General features: G+C 41.9%; 2 protein-coding genes across 24 annotated transcripts in view, besides 6 other annotated features; one reads left to right on the forward strand and one right to left on the reverse strand.

The window, feature by feature from the left end:
* METTL8 (methyltransferase 8, tRNA N3-cytidine) overlaps positions 1–13,875 on the reverse strand; it is a 119,027-nt gene extending 105,152 nt beyond the window's left edge. For 5 of the 11 annotated variants that reach the window (NR_135568.2, NM_001321161.2, NM_001321158.2 and 2 more), the window contains exon 1: positions 13,777–13,875. Coding sequence is in view for 3 of the 11 variants with exons in the window: in NM_001321161.2 (NP_001308090.1) it covers positions 13,777–13,784 (8 nt within the window). In the remaining 8 variants the exon portion in view is untranslated. Of the gene's footprint in view, positions 1–12,128; positions 12,323–12,985; positions 13,094–13,776 lie in introns of those variants that run through there. The other 6 variants (NM_001321159.2, NM_001321154.2, NM_001321162.2 and 3 more) reach the window with 2 other exon arrangements.
* Positions 12,327–12,496: an enhancer, noted in NCBI's record as "active region_16756". NCBI's record gives its function as "activates an Ori minimal core promoter by ATAC-STARR-seq in GM12878 lymphoblastoid cells {active_cell/tissue: GM12878}" and the evidence as "EXISTENCE:reporter gene assay evidence [ECO:0000049][PMID:35858748]".
* Positions 12,474–13,034: an enhancer, noted in NCBI's record as "OCT4-H3K27ac hESC enhancer chr2:172289881-172290441 (GRCh37/hg19 assembly coordinates)". NCBI's record gives its function as "activates a minimal SCP1, AML or CMV promoter by ChIP-STARR-seq in naive H9 embryonic stem cells {active_cell/tissue: H9 hESC(naive)}" and the evidence as "EXISTENCE:reporter gene assay evidence [ECO:0000049][PMID:30033119]".
* Positions 12,707–12,776: an enhancer, noted in NCBI's record as "active region_16757". NCBI's record gives its function as "activates an Ori minimal core promoter by ATAC-STARR-seq in GM12878 lymphoblastoid cells {active_cell/tissue: GM12878}" and the evidence as "EXISTENCE:reporter gene assay evidence [ECO:0000049][PMID:35858748]".
* Positions 13,087–13,996: a silencer, noted in NCBI's record as "silent region_12102". NCBI's record gives its function as "represses an Ori minimal core promoter by ATAC-STARR-seq in GM12878 lymphoblastoid cells {active_cell/tissue: GM12878}" and the evidence as "EXISTENCE:reporter gene assay evidence [ECO:0000049][PMID:35858748]".
* Positions 13,087–14,155: a biological region, named in NCBI's record as "NANOG-H3K27ac-H3K4me1 hESC enhancer GRCh37_chr2:172291003-172291562".
* The window catches only part of DCAF17 (DDB1 and CUL4 associated factor 17), a 50,827-nt gene continuing 45,901 nt past the window's right edge, over positions 13,329–18,254 (forward strand). For 12 of the 13 annotated variants that reach the window (NR_028482.2, XR_007082530.1, NM_025000.4 and 9 more), the window contains exons 1-2: positions 13,329–13,806; positions 14,186–14,289. Coding sequence is in view for 10 of the 13 variants with exons in the window: in NM_025000.4 (NP_079276.2) it covers positions 13,681–13,806; positions 14,186–14,289 (230 nt within the window). In the remaining 3 variants the exon portion in view is untranslated. Of the gene's footprint in view, positions 13,807–13,878; positions 14,101–14,185; positions 14,290–18,254 lie in introns of those variants that run through there. The other variant, XM_006712768.2, reaches the window with a different exon arrangement.
* Positions 13,596–14,155: an enhancer, noted in NCBI's record as "NANOG-H3K27ac-H3K4me1 hESC enhancer chr2:172291003-172291562 (GRCh37/hg19 assembly coordinates)". NCBI's record gives its function as "activates a minimal SCP1, AML or CMV promoter by ChIP-STARR-seq in naive H9 embryonic stem cells {active_cell/tissue: H9 hESC(naive)}" and the evidence as "EXISTENCE:reporter gene assay evidence [ECO:0000049][PMID:30033119]".

Consider the following 18,254-nt stretch of genomic DNA (forward strand, 5'->3'; position numbering starts at 1 on the left):
TAACTTGATAAAGGGTAGCTGCCAAAAACTTATGATGTCATCCTTAATGGTGAAATATTAGAAGTATTCCCTTTATAAACATGAATAAGACAAGGATGTCCATTATCAATGGTTCTACTCAACACTGCAATGGAGGTCTTGGCCAGGACAGTCAGAAAGGAAAGAGAAATAAAAAGTAAAAGGTGGAGGAGGAAGTAACAAACTGTCACAGTTTCCTAACGATATGATTATCTACACAGAAAAAATCCCCTAAACCCTACAAATGACAATTATTACTATTAAATGGAAAGTTTGGCAAGATTGCCAAATAAAAGATCAATATACAAACAGACAATTATATTTTCATATACTAGCAAACATATAGTTAGAAAACCTAATTTTAAAATATACTATTTAGCAAGGCACAGTGGCACCACTTGTACTCCCAGCTACTCAGGAGGCTGAGGCAGGAGGATGACTTGAGCCTAGGAGTTTGAGGCTTTAATGCACGATGATCACACATGTGAATAGCCACTGCACTCCAGCCTGGGCAGCACAGTGAGACCTTACTTCAAAAAAAAAATACATACACACATCCATACACACACACACACACACACATCATTTATAACAATGACCAAAAATATGATACACTTAGGAAGTTGTAAAATATGCAAGTCCTTTAAAGAAAAAATTATAAAACTTCACTGAGCCACTAATGAAGATCTAACTAAATAAATGGAGAGCTACATAGTGACTCTTGAATACAATGGGTTTAAACTTCATGGGTCCACTTATATGAGGATTTTTTTAACCAAACTCAGATTGAAAATACAGTATTTGGAGGATGTGAAATCTGCATATAAGGAGGGCCAACTTTTCATATACTTGGGTTCCACAGGGTCAACTGAAAGACTTGAGGATGTGTGGATTTTGGTATATGCGGGCATCCTGGAACCAATCTCCCTAGTATACTGAGGAAAGACTCTATAGTCTTCATAGATAGGATTATTTGATATTGTAAAGATGTCAGTTCTCTTCAAACTGATATACAGATTTAATGCCATCCCAATCAAAATTTCAATAAGGCTTTTGGGAAGCCCAAGCTGATTTTAAAAGGTATATGAAAGTGTCAATGGCAAAAAAGAAATAAGACACTCCTAAAGAAGAGGAGTAAGATGGAACAGTTCCCCTACCAGCTCTCAAGCCTTATGATAAAACTGCAGTGAATAAGTGGTCACTTATCACCCCAGGGACAGAAAAATAAGATAATGGAACAGAAAACAGAGCACAGAAATAGACTTGACCAGATAGGTAACTTGATCTACAACAGAACTAGCACCACAGATCTGTGAAGAAATGAAGAGACTATTCAATAAGTGGGTCTGGAACAAGTGATTATTCATATACAAAAAATAATAATAATGAAAGGATCTCTAATTTATACCATACTCTCAAATCAATTTCATCACTGACTGAAGACTTAAGTGGGAAAGTTAAAACTTTAAAACCTAGAAAAAGAATAAGAGGATATCTTTATGACCTCAAGTTAAGCAATTCTTAAACAATAGTCAAATTATAACCATAAAAGGAAATACTGACTACTTTTACCACATTTAATGTGAGCTTCTTTTTTTATATAGTATCAAATAAGCCACATATTGGGAGAAGACATTTGTAACACATATTATGATGAAGAATTGTTACGGAGAAACATGCAGAAACATTCTAAACTCAAGAAGAAAAAGACACACAATCTAATAGAAAATGGGCAAAAGTCATGATCAGGCTTTGCACAAGAATGAAAACAGGAATGCCTAGTGACATTAAAAATAGATGCTCAACTGTATTTATAATATGGAAAATGCATAAAAATCATAATATGATAGTCTTATATTCACTACATTGGCAAAAACTTAAGTCTGACAATACAAATGCAGGCAAGGATGTAAAGTAATGGGAAGTCAGCTAATAGGATAGAAATTGCTATAACAACATACAGAGTCAACATGGTATCACCTAAAAAAGCTGAAGGTGCATAATATGGTTTGGTTGTGTCCTCAACCAAATCACATCTTGAATTGTAGTTCCCATAATCTCCACATGTTGTGGGAGGGACACAGTGGGAGGTAATTGAATTATGGGGGGTGGTTATCCTCATGCTGATCTTGTGATAGTGAGTTCTCATGAGATCTGAGGGTTTATAAGGGGCTTCTCCCCTGCTTCACTCTGCACTTCTCCTTGCTGCTGCCATGTGAAGAACGATGTGTTTGCTTCCCCTTCTGCCATGATTGTAAGTCTCCTGAAGCCTCTTGAGCCATGTGGAACTGTGAGACAATTAAACCTCTTCCCTTTATAAATTACCCAGTCTCAGGTATGTCTTTATTAGTAACGTGAGAACAGACTAATATAGTAAATTGGTACCAGGAATGGGGTGCTGCTGTAAAGATACCCAAAAATGTGGAAGCAACTTTGGAACTGGGTAACAGGCAGAGGTTGGAACTGTTTGGAGGGCTCAAAAGACAGGAAAATGTGAGAAAGTTTGAAACTTCCTAGAGACTTGGAGGGCTCAGAAGACAGGAAGATGTGGGAAAGTTTGGAACTTCCTAGAGACCTGTTAAATGGTTTTGACCAAAATATTGATAGTGATATGGACAATAGAGCCCCCCACCTGAGGTCATCTCAGATGGAGATGAAGAACTTGTTGGGAACTGGACTAAAAGTCATTCTTGCTATGCAAAGATACTGGAGGCATTTTGTCCCTGCCCTAGAGATCTGTGGAACTTTGAACTTGAGAGAGATGATTTAGGGTATCTAGAGAAAGAAATTTCTAAGCAGCAAAGTGCTCAAGAGGAAGCAGAGCATAAACGTTTGAAAAATGTGCAGCCTGATAATGCAGTAGAAATGAAAAACCCATATTCTGGGGAGAAATTCAAGCGAGCTGCAGAAATTTGCATAAGTAACAAGGAGCCAAATGCTAATCACCAAGACAATGGGGAAAATGTCTCCAAGGCATGTCAGAGAACTTTGAGGCAGCCCCTCCCATCACAGGCCTAGAGGCCTAGGAGGGAAAAGTGGTTTCCTGGGCTGGATGCAGGGCCCTCCTACTGTGTGCAGCCTCAGGACTTGGTGCCCTGCACCCCAGCTGCTCCAGCTGTGGCTAAAAGGGGCCAAGGTACAGCACAGGCCATGGCTTCAGAGGGGACAAGCTCCAAGCCTTGGCAGCTTCCACGTGTTATTGGGCCTGCGGGTGCACAGAAGTCAAGAACTGAGTTTGAGGAACCTCTGCCTAGATTTCAGAAGATGTATAGAAATGCCTGGATGTCCAAGCAGAAGTTTGCTGCATGGGTGGAGCCCTCATGGAGAACCTCTGCTATGGCAGTGCGGAAGGGAAATGTGGGATTGGAGCCCCCACACAGAGTCCCTACTGGGACACTGCCTAGTGGAGATGTGAGAAGAGGGCCCCCATCCTCCAGACTCCAGAACTGTAGATCCACTGACAGCTTGCACCATGTGCCTGGAAAAGCCTCAGACACTCTACACCAGCCCATGAAAGCAGCCAGGACAGGGGCTGTACCCTGCAAAGCCACAGGTGTGGAGCTGCCCAAGGCCATAGGAGCCCACCTCTTGTATCAGCATGCCCTGGATATGAGACATGGAGTCAAAGGAGATCATTTTGGAACTTTAAGGTTTAATGACTGCTCTATTGGATTTTGGACTTGCATAGGGCCTGTAGCCCCTTTGTTTTGGCCAATTTCTCCCATTTGGAATGGGTGTATTTACCCAATGCCTGTACCCCCATTGTATCTAGGAAATAAATAACTTGCTTTTGATTTTACAGGCTCATAGGCAGAAGGGACTTGCCTTGTCTCAGATGAGACTTTGGACTTAGATTTTTGAGTTAATGCTGGAATAAGACTTTGGGAGACAGTTGGAAGGACATGATTGTGTTCTGAAATGTGAGGACATGAGCTCTGGGAGGGGCCAGGGGCAGAATGATATGGTTTGGCTGTGTCCCCACCCAAATCTCATCTTGAATTGTAGTTCCCATAATCTCTACATGTTGTGGGAGGGACCCAGTGGGAGGTAACTGAATCATGGGGGTGGTTACCCTCATGCTGTTCTCATGATAGTGAGTGTGTTCTCATGAGATCTGATGGTTTTATAAGGGGCTTTTCCTCCACTTTGCTCTGCACTTCTCCTTGCTGCTGCCATGTGAAGAAGGGTGTGTTTGCTTCTCCTTCTGCCATGACTGTAAGTTTCCTGAGGCCTCCCCAGCCATGAGGAACTGTGAGTCAATTAAACCTCTTCCCTTTATAAATTACCCAGTCTCAGGTATGTCTTTATTAGCAGTGTGAGAACGGACTAATACAATGCACATACCATATAATTCAGTAATTAAGTACCTAGGTATATACTCTGGAGCAACTCTTTGTGGCAGCAGAATTATAACACAGTCCCCAAGAGACCCCCTCATCCTCTGCATAGTCCATCAGTGTGGATGGGACCTGTGAAAATGATGGACAGTCATCTCCTTCATAGGTTACTTTTATGTAAGACCTCATCTTAGCAGAGGAGGTCAGAGAGACATTCTCCTATTTGCTTTGAAGAAGCAGACTGCCAGGTTGTGAAAAGGGCCATGAGGCAGGGAATAGTGGGCAACGTCTCAGAGCTGAGGGCTTCAGTCCTATAGCTGCTAGGAATGGAATTGTGTCAATATCCAGTGAGGGTAGAACAGGACTGTGAGTCGCAGATGAGACCACAGCCCAGGCTGACACCATAATTTCAGCCTGGTGAGATCCTGAGCAGAGAATTAGGTTATGCTGTTTTAGGACTTCTACAAGAATTTGAGGTAATGAATGGGTGTTAATTTAAGCTACTAAAACTGTGGTAATTTGTTATACAGCAAAAGAAAACTAACGCATTCTTTAACGTGTGCCAGGAGACAGGGATAAGAATGTCTATAACAGCACTTTCCTAGAAATAAAAAACCTGAAAGAGGCCAGGTGTGGTGGCTCACGCCTGTAATCCCAGCACTTTAGGAGGCTGAGGCAGGCAGATCATGAAGTCAGGTGTTCGAGACCAGCCTAGCCAACATAGTGAAATCTCATCTCTACTAAAAATACAAAAATTAGCCGGGCATGGTGGTGGGCACCTGTAATCCCAGCTACACAGGAGGCTGAGGCAGGAGAATCTCTTGAACCCAGGAGGCAGAGGTTGCAGTGAGCTGAGATTGAGCCACTGCACTCCAGCCTGGGCAATAGAGTAAGACTCCATTTCAAAAAACACAAAAACAAAACAAAAAACATGAAAGAAACAAAAAGCCTGGCTAGTAGAAAGGGGATAAATTAATTGTAATAAATTTATACAAGGAAATACTACACAGTAGTAAACATGAATGAATTACAGGTATGTCGTAAAATGTAATGTTGAGAAAAATATAGACAAGCTATAGAAGAGTACACATATATAATATGAATGATGTTCAAAAACATTTAAAACAATTTTTTATTTATCTAAAGAGGAAAGAGGGATCTGGGAACCAGCAGGGCACATAAGAGATGTCAAAGTTTTAGGTAATATTCTGTTTATTTTTAAGTTGATGATAAGTATATGGGTGTTCATTTTATAATTGTTATTTGTATATTATGCTATGATATCTGTAACATAGCATAAAGGATTGATATTCTTTTGAATAAATATTGTTTAAAATAAGAGGGTGAGTCTGCGAGCTTTACTATCAATCCTTTAAACCTAAATCTTTCTGAAAACTTCGTATATGCATTAATATACTGTGTGTTCAGACACACATCATTAAAATATAGAGAGGAAAGAAAACATAAGAACCAAACTTGTGGTCAAAAGGTTCAATAACTTCAAAATAAATTTCTAAAAGTGACTTGCACCTGGACTACTACAATCACCTGCTAAGTGGTCTCTTATATTTCACTCTTGTTCTTGATGCTGCAGCCAAGTATCTGTTTAAGAAGAATGTCACATCACTCTAAGGGTTTTCCATCACATTTCCACAGTTCCACATGGTCTGACCCCTACCTACTTCTGAGATCTGATTTTATTCACTTTTCCCACATGCCCTAGCCACATAACAAATCCTAACATTCCTTAGCACTAATGTATAATGCTGATGTGCACCTTTAATAAAATCCAGGCATTGTTTCTTTGGCATCACATCATGTTTCCAATTTGTTTTGAGGAGTTTGGGAATATTTATCGTGGTTCTGTTTTATTAGGATTTCACTTGATTCTTTTCTTTTCCTCATCCTTAATATCCACTGTATCAGAAGTCCTATCAACTCTACTTCCAAAATACATCTTGAATCTTGTTCACTTCTTTCCATCTCTCCTGTTACCACTCTAGTCCAAAACACTATAATCTCTTACCTGGACAAATGCAATAGCCACCTGTCTCCTTACAATTATTCTTGCCTTCCACAATGTATTTTCCACTCTATAGCCATAATGACCTTTTTATAACACAAAATAGATCATATCACTCCCCTCTTCAAAGCCTCCTATCAGAATAAAATCCAAAATTCCTTACCATTGCCTACAAAGCTTAACGTCTTGGTCCCATCCGACTGCTCCAAGTTTACCTCTCTCCTGCACACTAAAGAGCCACACTGGCCTTCTGAGAGTTTTTGACTTCTTATTATAAGCCTTAGGAATCCTGAACTCAAGCATCCCTTTGCCTGGACTACTACTCTGGACTGTTGCAGATCAGCTCCTCCTCATCATTCAGGGCTCAGCTTACATGTGTTCTCTTTAGAACGGCCTTCCCTGACCACTCTGGCTAAAGCAGGGTGTTCAACCACCCTCCAGCACATCACCCTGTTTTATTTTCTTCACAGCACTTATTGCTACCTAGAAATCTTATTTTTTCATCTATTTATTTATTGTCTATCTCCTCCCACCTGTAGGGACCCTGTCTATCCTGTTTACTGCTATACCCTATGCCAAAACTTTCCCCTGCACATTATGGATGAAAAACAAAAACATGTTGAACAAATGACTTCCTATAGCTTAGTTAAAATTTGTCTCTGAATAAATGTTCAAGTTTAATAACCTGAGTATTTTATACATTTATTCAGTTATACTATGTTTCTTTAAACAAAGTATATGAACAAAAAGCATTTTATTAACTTTTGAATTAATATTTCTTCTTTCTTGTCTTTAAAATATCATGGCTAGGATGGTTAAGTATTCTGTAAACATAACACAGACAAAGAATAGAAAAAAAGAAGAACTAATATTTGTTCTATGCCCAAAACTAAGAGAAATCATTTTCCAATCATAAAACTGTATCTATTTATGCCATTTTACCTTCAACAAATGGAAAATATCTACTTCATAGGTAGAAGTCTTAAGGATTTAAGTTTTTTTGAAAGTTATTAATATTGTGACTTCCTACTGATTTAAGGAATAAGTGGAGACTAAATCTGCATCTAAGCTAAAAGTAGCTGCTATTGCCAAGTATTGTGGTATATGCCTGTAATCCCACTATACATGCCAGCTACTCAGGAGGCTGAGGCGGGATGATCGCTTGAGCCCAGGAGTTCAGCACCAGCCTTTGAGATTTCTTCTCAAGCAAATAAAGTTAAAAAAAAAAAAAGTACTTAGCTGTTGATAATAGATTCTATACAAACATATTGTTTTTTATAGCCCATTCATTTATTCAACATACATATGCATTAACCACATTTTAGGTAGTGTAAAGCAGGGAGAATTATATTACTACTCAGTTTCTGCCCAGGTTAGTTGAGAAGACAGACAAATGACAATTCTAGTATAGTGCCACAACAGTATACACAGTAACATGGAAGCACAGAAAAGGCTACTAACCAAGCTGGAGGAGTTAGGGGAAGGGTCTCAGTGGAGCTGTGATACCTGGGATGAGTCTTGAGATCAACTGATAAGAGGAGAGGAAAGGAAGCTTCAGATAAAGAAAATCTCAAATATAAAGGCACATTGGCTTGAGAAAGTCAGCAAACATGTCAGAACCACAAAAGCAAACATGAGGGATGGCCAAAGAGATGAGGCTGAAAATGTGGGCAAGATAATGAAAACATGGGAAGATAATGAAGTGCCTGGTATTCTACCCAAAGAGATTCAGATTTTGTACTATAAGGTACCTTATGTGAACCCCTAGGGATTTTGTACACATATCTTCAAGGCTATGAGATTTCTGTAGGAGAAACCTTTCATTTTCAATTTGATAAAAATCTTTCAAAAAAAAAAAAGAATATTAACAAAAGGACACTCTGGATCATCTGAATGAGCACTTTTTAATTGAGTGCTGTCACAAGATTTGAATTCACACGTGTGTTTAGGAGTGTATTGCTAAACAAGTGGTGCTGTTTGTCATTGATACATGTTAATGAGAATGAAATGGGGACTACTGTATGTAAATGATGTTGTTTGTCAAGTAAAGGACAAATGAAGCCATGACATACTGAACAAATGAAGGTTTTGTGGTGATTTATATAAAGAAAAGAGGTGAAGGCATCAAGTAATCTCTCAACACAAGGGCAATATGGACAGACCTTTCTGTAAGGAAGGTACGCCACAGAGGACATTCATGATTAGAGCTTTTTAGGTCCAACTAAAGTCTCATTGCTCACAATCATTTGAATTTATTGGTTTTATAGCTTTGTTTCATTTAACTTGTAAATGTTCGGGTGTTATCGGTGTATAAAAGATACAACACACACATAAAAAAATTAAAAAGACAAAAAACAAGAAAGAGACAAGATGAGGAGTTTATACCTAATTTTATCTTTGCATATATGTGACATACTAAAAAGGTTTTAAGTTAACAATGGAGGATCCTGAGTATCTTATTTGGGTATAAGAAATACTGCTCAGCCAGGCGTGGTGGCTCACGCCTGTAATCCCAGCAGTTTGGGAGGCAGACGCAGGCAGATCACCTGAGGTCAGGAGTTTGAGACCAGCCTGACCAATATGATGAAACCCCATCTCTACTAAAAATACAAAAATTAGCTGGGTGTGGTGGCATGTGCCTGTAATCCCAGCTACTCGGGAGGCTAAGACAGGAGAATCACTTGAACCCGGGAAGCAGAGGTTGCAGTGAGCCGAGATCACACCATTGCACTCCAGCCTGGGCAACAAGAGCAAAAAAACTCCGTCTCAAAAAGAAAAAAAAAAAAGGAATTCTGCTATGGGCCAGGAACGGTAGCTCATGCCTATAATCCCAGCACTTTGGGAGGCCAAAGTGGGCGGATCATCTGAGGTCAGGAGTTCACAACCAGCCTGGCCAACATGGTGAAACCCCGTCTCTACTAAAAATATTAAAATTAGCCAGGGATGGTGGTGTGCGCCTGTAATGCCAGCAACTGGGGAGGCTGAGGCAGGAGAATCACTTGAACCTGGGAGGTGGAGGCTGCAGTGAGCCGAGATAGCCCCACCGCACTCCAGCCTGGACAACAGAGCAAGACTCCATCTCAAAAACAAAAAACAAAAAAAAAAGGGAGCCTGTCTAGGGGCTAGGGGAGGGATAGCATTAGGAGAAATACTTAATGTAGGTGACGGGTTGATGGGTGCAGCAAATCACGATGGCACATGTATACCTATATAACAAAACTGCACGTTCTACACATGTACCCCAGAACTTACAGTATAATAAAAATAAATAAATAAATAAGAAATTCTGCTATGGGTGTTCGGAGCTGCTGAAAGAATGCAACAGGCAAGTGACAGCTTGTGCTTTAGGAAAATCACTCTGGCAGCAGTATGGAGGAGGGCTGGAATTAAAAGTACCCAAGTGATAGCAGCAGGAGGCAGACAAATCCTAGGCAGATGGGGGTGGGTCCCCAGTGAAACCTGACCTTCAAGCTGAAGACAGCTTAAAGCCTAGCTACATGTCCTGGATAAATCTATGGACCAGATCGAGAACCTCTCTTCCCATTTGGTGCACTTTCCTCTGATTGATCCCCACCCTTCACCTATTTTACATATACCCACCCTTCTCTAATTTGTTTTTTCACACTGTTGTGCCCACCTTTGAGTGGTGCCTTTGTTTTAGCCTATTTTGCATACTCACAAACCAATCAGCATGCACTTCCCCATTCTGAGCCCATAAAAGCCCCAGACCCAGCCATGCCAGAAGAGAGGCCAAACTACTTTGGGTGGGGGACCACCCTTGCGTCCCCTCTTGGCTGAGAATGAAAGGAGTTAGCCAGCTTGCTTTAGGCAGACAGTAAGGGAAGCGTCCCTGAAGAACCTACGACGTGCCCCAAAAGTGCTTACACCAGATGTTTTGTGCACATAAGGGAATTTGCACAGGGGGCTTGCCTAAACATGCCCACAATAGAAAATTCCATTCCCTAACACATGTGCAGTAAGGGAAATAACCAATATGGAGTAGCTCAGACTAAGGGCCCACGAGCACACTGGAAGGATGGGGTGGAGCCTCCAGAAATTTGCACCTTAAGCCCAGGTATTCAACTGTAAAGGGGGCAACCAGCAACCTGCTTTCAGGACCCCTTTCTTTACTGGGAGCTTTCCTTTCACTAAATAAATTCTACTCCACTCACTCTCCGGGGTCCACACACCTAATTCTTACTGATTGTGAGACAAAAACTCAGACCTAGCTGAGCTAAGAGCAAAAATCCTGCATCAAGAGCTGTTTTGTTGCTCAATAAAACTCTTCTCTGTCCTCCTCACCCTCCGATTGTTAGTGTAATCTCATTCTTGGACACAGGACAAGAGCTCAGGATGCCACCAAACATGGGTAGGAAGAAGAGAGTAACACGGTAGCTCTCTGCCCCACCAGCAGCGCCTGGTAGCCACCCTATGCAACAAGAAGCAGGGCGGGGGGCCAGGCCAGCCCCAGGGCCATGGGCGGGAGTGGGGTAACAGGACTGATAGGGCTGTTAACATGCCCCTGTTCGTCAGGCTGCAGAGGGCAGATCTAAAAGAGCTGTTAGCATGCTGTAACACCCACCTCTGGGGCTTCTGGGTTGCCTGACCCATTTGGTTACCACCACCTTCCCCTAGTCTGGACTCCAGAGCCCACTGTGGGAGTCACTTGTGACATGCCTGGTCCAGCCGCAAGCGGTGCACGGAGCCAGCTCCTGTGCCGGCACTTGGAGCAACCAGCTGGATACCACACAACTCTGCACTCACCAGCTCAGACACCCTCTCCTGCCAGGGGCTGAGCCCACAGTCAGGTGGCCACAGGATCCACACCTGCGTGCAAGCCAGGAGTGGCCCAGTGGGCCAGTTGTGCAGGGCACCTCCTGTGGCAAGCCCAGCCCGAGCAAGGCCTGGGTAGGTCTCCAGCTGCGGAGGTCTCCAGTGGCAAAGCAACGTCAAAAAAAAAAAATCCTGTGTCACAAGTAAGGCAGAAATTAAGAGACTACTTAATAATGTGATAAAAAATGGTGAGGCCCTAAATTACTTAGGTGAAATGAAGATGAGATGGATAAGAGTCTAAAGGACTTGGTTGTGGGTGAGGAACAGCAAGGCATCCAGGATGACTCTCCCTTGGTGACGACTTGGTGGTGAAATAAAGGCCACAAGAAAGAAGACAAACAAGTGGGGGCAAAGAGGAAAGAGAAATGAGAGAGTTGATGAATTCAATTCAGAAATGATTTGAATTTCATTTAAGCCAAAGAAAACCCAGTTATCTTTTCTGGGTTCCAGTTTTCTCAGTGACAGCTGCATTCATGAATTACCAAATTAACTATTGTAGCACTCTCTAAAAATATACAAAGCACTCTACCGTATGCTGTAAATAAGTCATGAAAAATCAGCAAAAGCTCGAGCCCTGAAGGAAATTCAGCAGGGTTAAAAAGAGATATGGCCAATGTTTACTAAACACTTAAACTGTGACCCAACACACTCACCCAGTACTGTAAGTACTCACTTAATGTCATCAACAGATTTTTGGAAACTGACTGTAAGCAAAATGACATATAACAAAACCATTTTTACCATAGGCCAATTGATATAAACAAAAGTTAAGTTCCTATAACATATTTCTGGTCACAAAAACATCACCAAACTCCTAAATACAAACCAAAACACTTCTAATATTAAACATTGAAATAAATGGGAGCTATACATACATTTAAGGAAGATTAATAAAAACAAGTAAGATAGTTATTTACCTAATTATTCCAGTTCAGGGTCGAGGGTGGCTGAAGCCTATCCCCTCAGCTCAGGGTGCAAGGTGGGAACCAACCCTTGGACACGACGACATTCCATCGCAGGGAGCACTCACACTCACACTCAGACAGGAAACACAGACAAGGCCAATTCATCCAGCCTGCACTGAGATGTGGGAGGCAGTACCCTGGGGTACCTGGTGAAAACCCATGCAGACGTGGGGAGAAGGGGCAAGATCCACACAAACAGTAGCCCCGGTAGGAAATTATTATTTTTTCTCATCAAGTTATACAAAATGACACTGAACGAAAAAATGCGATTCAAGGACCTGCTGTACTGTACTTTTTGCTCTGCCAGTCAGGTGCGATCGCTGGCTTTCTTTGAGCACCTATGAACAAGAGGTAGCATGCCCAAGTCCACGTGGGAGATACAGCGGCCCCACCCTTAAGGGACTTAGAGCATGGCGGTGGGACACATGTGGTGCAAGCTTGCTGAAAGTTTAGTGTGCTGGGAACTTTGAACATACAGGCAGGGCTAGTTAACAAAGTATATCTTTTACTTAGAGACATCGACGAGGAATATCTTAGGCCGTCCAATAAGAATGTAAGCATTTCATATTTTATTCCCTATAAAGAAAAAAGAATGGAGGCGAGAGGAAATGAAATGAAGCAATTATCGCAAAACCAGTCAGTGTCCCCGCAGGCCACCCAAGGACAAGCCTCCGGGAAAGAGTAACTCAATCCCAGTTTGGAGGGTGAAACTAAGAGTGAATGGGAAGCCAGCATCTTCCTAATACAAAAGCACAGTTTACCGTCCCCCTCAGCCAACATGCGGCTGAAGGGAAAGCCGCGGGGCGTACCTTTAGCACGGGACGCTGCTTTGGGGGGATCGCCCTCGACACAGCGCCCCTCCCGGCACCTGGCCAGAACCTCCCAGGGCGAAGGTCGGGGCCGAGAAGCTTGTGAGTACCGGGGCAGTGAGGGAGGGATCCCTAAGTGCAGGGCGCACACACGGGGCGGAGACCTGGAGGCGGCAGCACCGCGCCCCCAGGGCTCTGCCCAGCTAGCCACTCGCAGCACAGAGAAGCGCGCCCGCAAGACAGCGCAGCCTCCGCGGGCCGGAGGAGGCGGGGCCGCGGCAGGCAGAGGCAGGGCCGGGCAAGCCCTCGCTCCCCGCCGCCTGACGGGAATTGTAGTTCCTGGGAGAAGCCGGGCTGCCTCACGAGGCACTAGGAACTACATTTCCCGGTGAGAGAGCGGCTCCGGCCGGCCGCGCGGTACCGGAGCGTCGCACTGTCAGCGGCCAGAGAGCCTGGGGCAGATCGAAAAGGGAGTGCTTCTTCCCTTCTCTCCGCGCTCTGGCGGTGCAAGCGGCTCTGCTTTCCCTCGCCCCGCCGTCGGGTGCTCCCTGCCCGCCTCCCCGTGTCAGCTTTCCCTGGGCCCCGCCGGGAAAGTCTGGGCCTCGAAATTCGAAGGCAGCGGCGGCTGCCCAGCACGGGAGTGTGGGGCGCGCCACTCGGCGGCCCAGCCTACCCAGGGCCCGGCCCGCGCCTCCATGGGCCCGACCCGGAAGCCCAACGTGTGCAGCCGGCTGAGTCGCCGGGCGCTGGGCTGCTTCTCGCGCGACGCAGGCGTGGTGCAGAGGACCAACCTGGGCATCCTGCGGGCGCTGGTGTGCCAGGTGACCGCCAGCCGGCCGGGGCGGGACGGAGGGCCGCGGGCGCGCGGCGGCCGAGCCTCCTGCGGGGATGCGGTTTTAACGCGCTGGGGCCTCCCTTTATAGGGTCACATGTGATGGGGAGGAGGATACAAGCCCGGAATCTGGGATAGGTGGTAATAGGGCCACCAGCTGCTTTTAGTTTTACGCTTCTTATGTCTTACCTGGAAACAATTATTCTAAAAGTTGGTCACCTCATTAAGCCAAAACATGAGGGCAGAGTGGAGGAAGGATGCAAAAAGTTTTAAAATAATATAGGTGACATTATGTTGCTTTGAAAATTTAAAATCTAACTTAAAGCCTAAGAGTTCTTTCCTGAACGGAAATTCTTTATGTCTTTTAGGAAAGTACTAAATTTAAGAATGTCTGGACAACTCATTCCAGGTCACCTATAGCCTATGAGAGAGGAAGAATATATTTTGACAATTATCGGCGCTGTGTCAGCAGGTAACTTTTTATTGATAATTTTGCTGTAATTCACCTCACTGTTGATCTTAACTATAATTTGTATAGAACCACATGCCTACATTAGTGCCTAGTGAAATAGAATGAAAAAAATGGGTCCGAAATAAGACTAGGCAGTAAAAAATGCATGTAATTTTAAAATCTTGTTAAATCTAAAGTTGCAGGTGTCATTTTTGTAAATACCAACTTAAAGCAAAACTACAGTGCAGGCAAAACCACAGATTGTTCAGAGTACTGTTTAGTGTTTAGTCTACTTATACCACAGTCAAGAAATCCAGTTGCCAATCAAATAATTAGATGCTGCTTTGGAGAATTGATGGATTGTGTTTTGGAAGTACTTGCCTTTTTTTTTTTTTTTTAGAGAAATTTTTTCAAACAAAAGCCTAGTATTTAGAGATCCAAAATGTTTAACAGTCAGCCTCATCCACAACTGTCCAACATGAGGGGGGAAGGAAAGCCACAATGCATCCCCATATACTCATTACCCAGATTCAAAAACTATCAAGATTTGCCACATTTGCTTTATCTAACCCACTTTTCCTTTTGCATGACCTCTTTTAAAGCATATTCTAAACATACATCAGTTTGCATTTTTAAAAAAATGAGCTTTTTTTATAGGCTTTATTAGGATATAATTCACATACCATATATTTACCCATTTAAAGTGTACAGTTCAATAATATTTAATGCATTCACAGATACATGTAATCACTACCACAGTTAATTTTAGAGCATTTTCATCACTTCAAAACAGAACCATGTACCTTTAAGCAGTCACCTCAGTACCACCATTACCCTCAGCCCTAAGCAACCACTAGTCTGTTTTCTGTCTGTAGATTCACCTATTCTGTACTTTTCATATAAATGGAATCATATAATATATGGTCTTTTGTAACTGGCTTTTTCACTTTGCGTGTTTTCAAGGTTCATCCATGTTGTCACATGCATCAGAATTCCTTTATAAAGTTGAATAATATTGCATTGTATCAATTACCACATTTTACGTATCCGTTTATCAGTTGTTAGACATTGGTGTTTCTACCTTTTAGCTATTATAAATAATGCTGCTATAAACATTTCCATGTAAGTTTTTATGTGGGCATTTATTTTCACTTCTCCTAGATTATACCTAGGAATGGAATTGGTAGGTCATAAGATTATACTGTAACTGCGTTTAATAGTTAGAAGAACTGCCATACACTTTTCTAAAGTGGTAGTACCATTTTATGTTCCCATAAGCAGTATATGAGGGTTCTGATTTTTCCACATTCTTGTCAACACTTGATGTGTGACTCACAGCATCTCACTGTGGTTTTGATTCCATTTTCCTGATGACTAGTGATGTCAGGCATCTTTTCTTGTGCATATTAGCCATTTGTATGTTATTCTTTGGAGAAATGTTTGGTTAGATATTTTGCCCACTTGTAAATTTTTTTTTTTTTTTTTACAAAAATCCTTACATATTTTAGATACAAGTCCCTTATCAGATATATGATTTCAAATACTTTCTCCCATTGTGTAGATTGTCTTTTTACTTTCCTGATGTTATTGTTTGAAACAGAGAGGTTAATTTTTTTTTTTTTTTTTGAGACAGAGTTTTGCTCTTGTTGCCCAGGCTGGAGTGCAATGGCGTGATCTCGGCTCACTGCAGTCTCCACCTTCCGGGTTCAGGTGATTCTCCTGCCTCAGCCTCCCGAGTAGCTGGGACTACAGGCATGCGCCACCACGCCTGGCTAATTTTGTATTTTTGGTAGAGACCGGGTTTCTCCATGTTGGTCAGGCTGGTCTCGAACGCCCAGCTTCAGGTGATCCGGCCACCTCGGCCTCCCAAAGTGCTGGGATTACAGGCATGAGCCACCGCGTCCAGCCACAGAGAGGTTAATTTTGATGAAGTCCAATTTATCTAAATTTTTTTCATTACTCATGCTTTTGGTGCCATATCTAAGAATCCATTGCAAAATTTGAGGTCATTAAGATTTGCTCCTAGGTTTTTTTCTAAAGGGTTTATAGTTTTAGCTCATATTTAGGTGGTTGATCCACTTTGAGTTAATTTTAGTATAGGGTATAAGGTAGGTATCCAACTCCATTTTTTTTAACATGCAGCTATACATTTGTCCTAGCACCATTTATTAGAAAGACTTTTCTTTCTTCATTGCAAGGCCTTGCCACCCTTGTCAAAAATCAATTGACCATAGACACTTTTGGATTTATTTCCGGACGTTCAAGTCTGTTCCACTGATCTGTATGTCTGTCCTTATGTCAATACCACATTGTCTTGATCACTGCTGCTGTGTTATTTCTTCTTTAAATGCTTGGTGGAATTAACCATTGAAAGCATCTGGGCTTGGCACTTTCTGTTTTGGTAGGTTGTTCATTATTGATTACATTTCTTTAATAGATACAGACTTATTCAAGTTATCTAATTCTCCTTGGGTAAATTTTGATAGATGGTGTCTTTCAAGGAATTCATCTAAGTTATCCAAACTTGTGAGCCTAGACTTATTCATAATATTTCTTTATTATTGTTTTAACGTCCATGAGATCGGTAGTGATAGCCACTCTTTAATTTCTCATATTAGTAATCAATTTTGTTGACCTTTTCAAAAAAACAGCTTTTGGTTTTGTTGATTTTCTCTATTGATTTTTGGTTTTCAATTTTACTACTTTCTGAGCTAATTTTTGTTATTTCTTTGCTTACTTTGGATTTAATTTGCTCTTCTTTTACTAGTTTCCTAAGGTAGAAACTTAGATTACGATTTGAAGTCTTTCTCCTTTTCTGCATATGCACTTACTGCTATACCTTTTCCTCTAAGCATTGTTTTTGTTGCATCCCACAAATGTTGATACGTTGTATGTGCATTTTCATTTAGTTCAGAATATTTTTAAATTTCTCCTGGGACTTCTTTGACCCATGTGTTATTTAGATGTGTGTTGTTCACTCTCCAAATATATTGGGATTTTCCAGTTATCATTGTTTTATTGATTTGTGGTTTAATACCACTATGACCCAAGAGCATACTTTATATTAGTTCTAGTCTTTTAAATTTGTTAAGGTGTCTTTTATGGCTCAGAATGTGGTCTACCTTGGTGAACGTTTCGTGTAAGCTTGAGAAGAATGTGTATTCTGCTGTCGTTGGATGAGATATTCTGTTTGATCCAGTTGACTGATGGTACCTTTCAGTTTAAGTATATGCATAATTACTAACTTTCTGCCAGCTGGATGTGTTAATTACTGATGGGTATTGAAATCTCTATAATAGTGAGTGGATTTATCTATTTCTCCTTGCATTTCTATCCGTGTTTGCCACATTGTGTTTTGATACTCTGTTGTTAGATGCATATGTATTAAATATTGTTATGCCTTCTTGGAGAATTGACACCTTTTTCATTATCTTATGCCCACTTAATCCCTGGTAATGTTCCTTGCCAAATTCGACTTTGTCTGAAATTAGTATAGCTACTCCAGCTTTCTTTTGTTTAGTGTTTACACATTGTATCTTTTGCCATTCCTTTACTTTTAATCTATCTGTGCCTTTTTTTTTCCCCCCCAAAGTCAGGGTCTGGCTGTGTCTCCCAGGCTGGAGTGCAGTGGCACAATCATAGCTCACTGTAACACCAAACTCCTGGACTGAAGCAATCCGACCATCTCAGCCTCCCAAGTAGCTAGGACTATAGGCATGTGGCTATTTTTAAAACAATTTTTTTAGAGATAGGGGTCTCAGTCGTGCTGTGTTGCCCAAGCTGATCTCATACTCCTGACCTCAAGTAGTCCTCCCACCTCAGCCTCTGCTGAGGATTACAGACACGAGCCACCAGAACACTTTAGGTATTTATGTCTCTCTCTGCTTGCTCTTATGCTCTCTGAAGAGAAATCCAAATTAATTCTTATTGTTCCCCTATATAGTTAAGGTGCTTTTTTTTCATCTGGCTTCTTTCAAGATTTTCTC

This window comes from Homo sapiens, chromosome 2, assembly GCF_000001405.40.
Source record: "Homo sapiens chromosome 2, GRCh38.p14 Primary Assembly".
Lineage (NCBI taxonomy): Eukaryota > Metazoa > Chordata > Mammalia > Primates > Hominidae > Homo > Homo sapiens.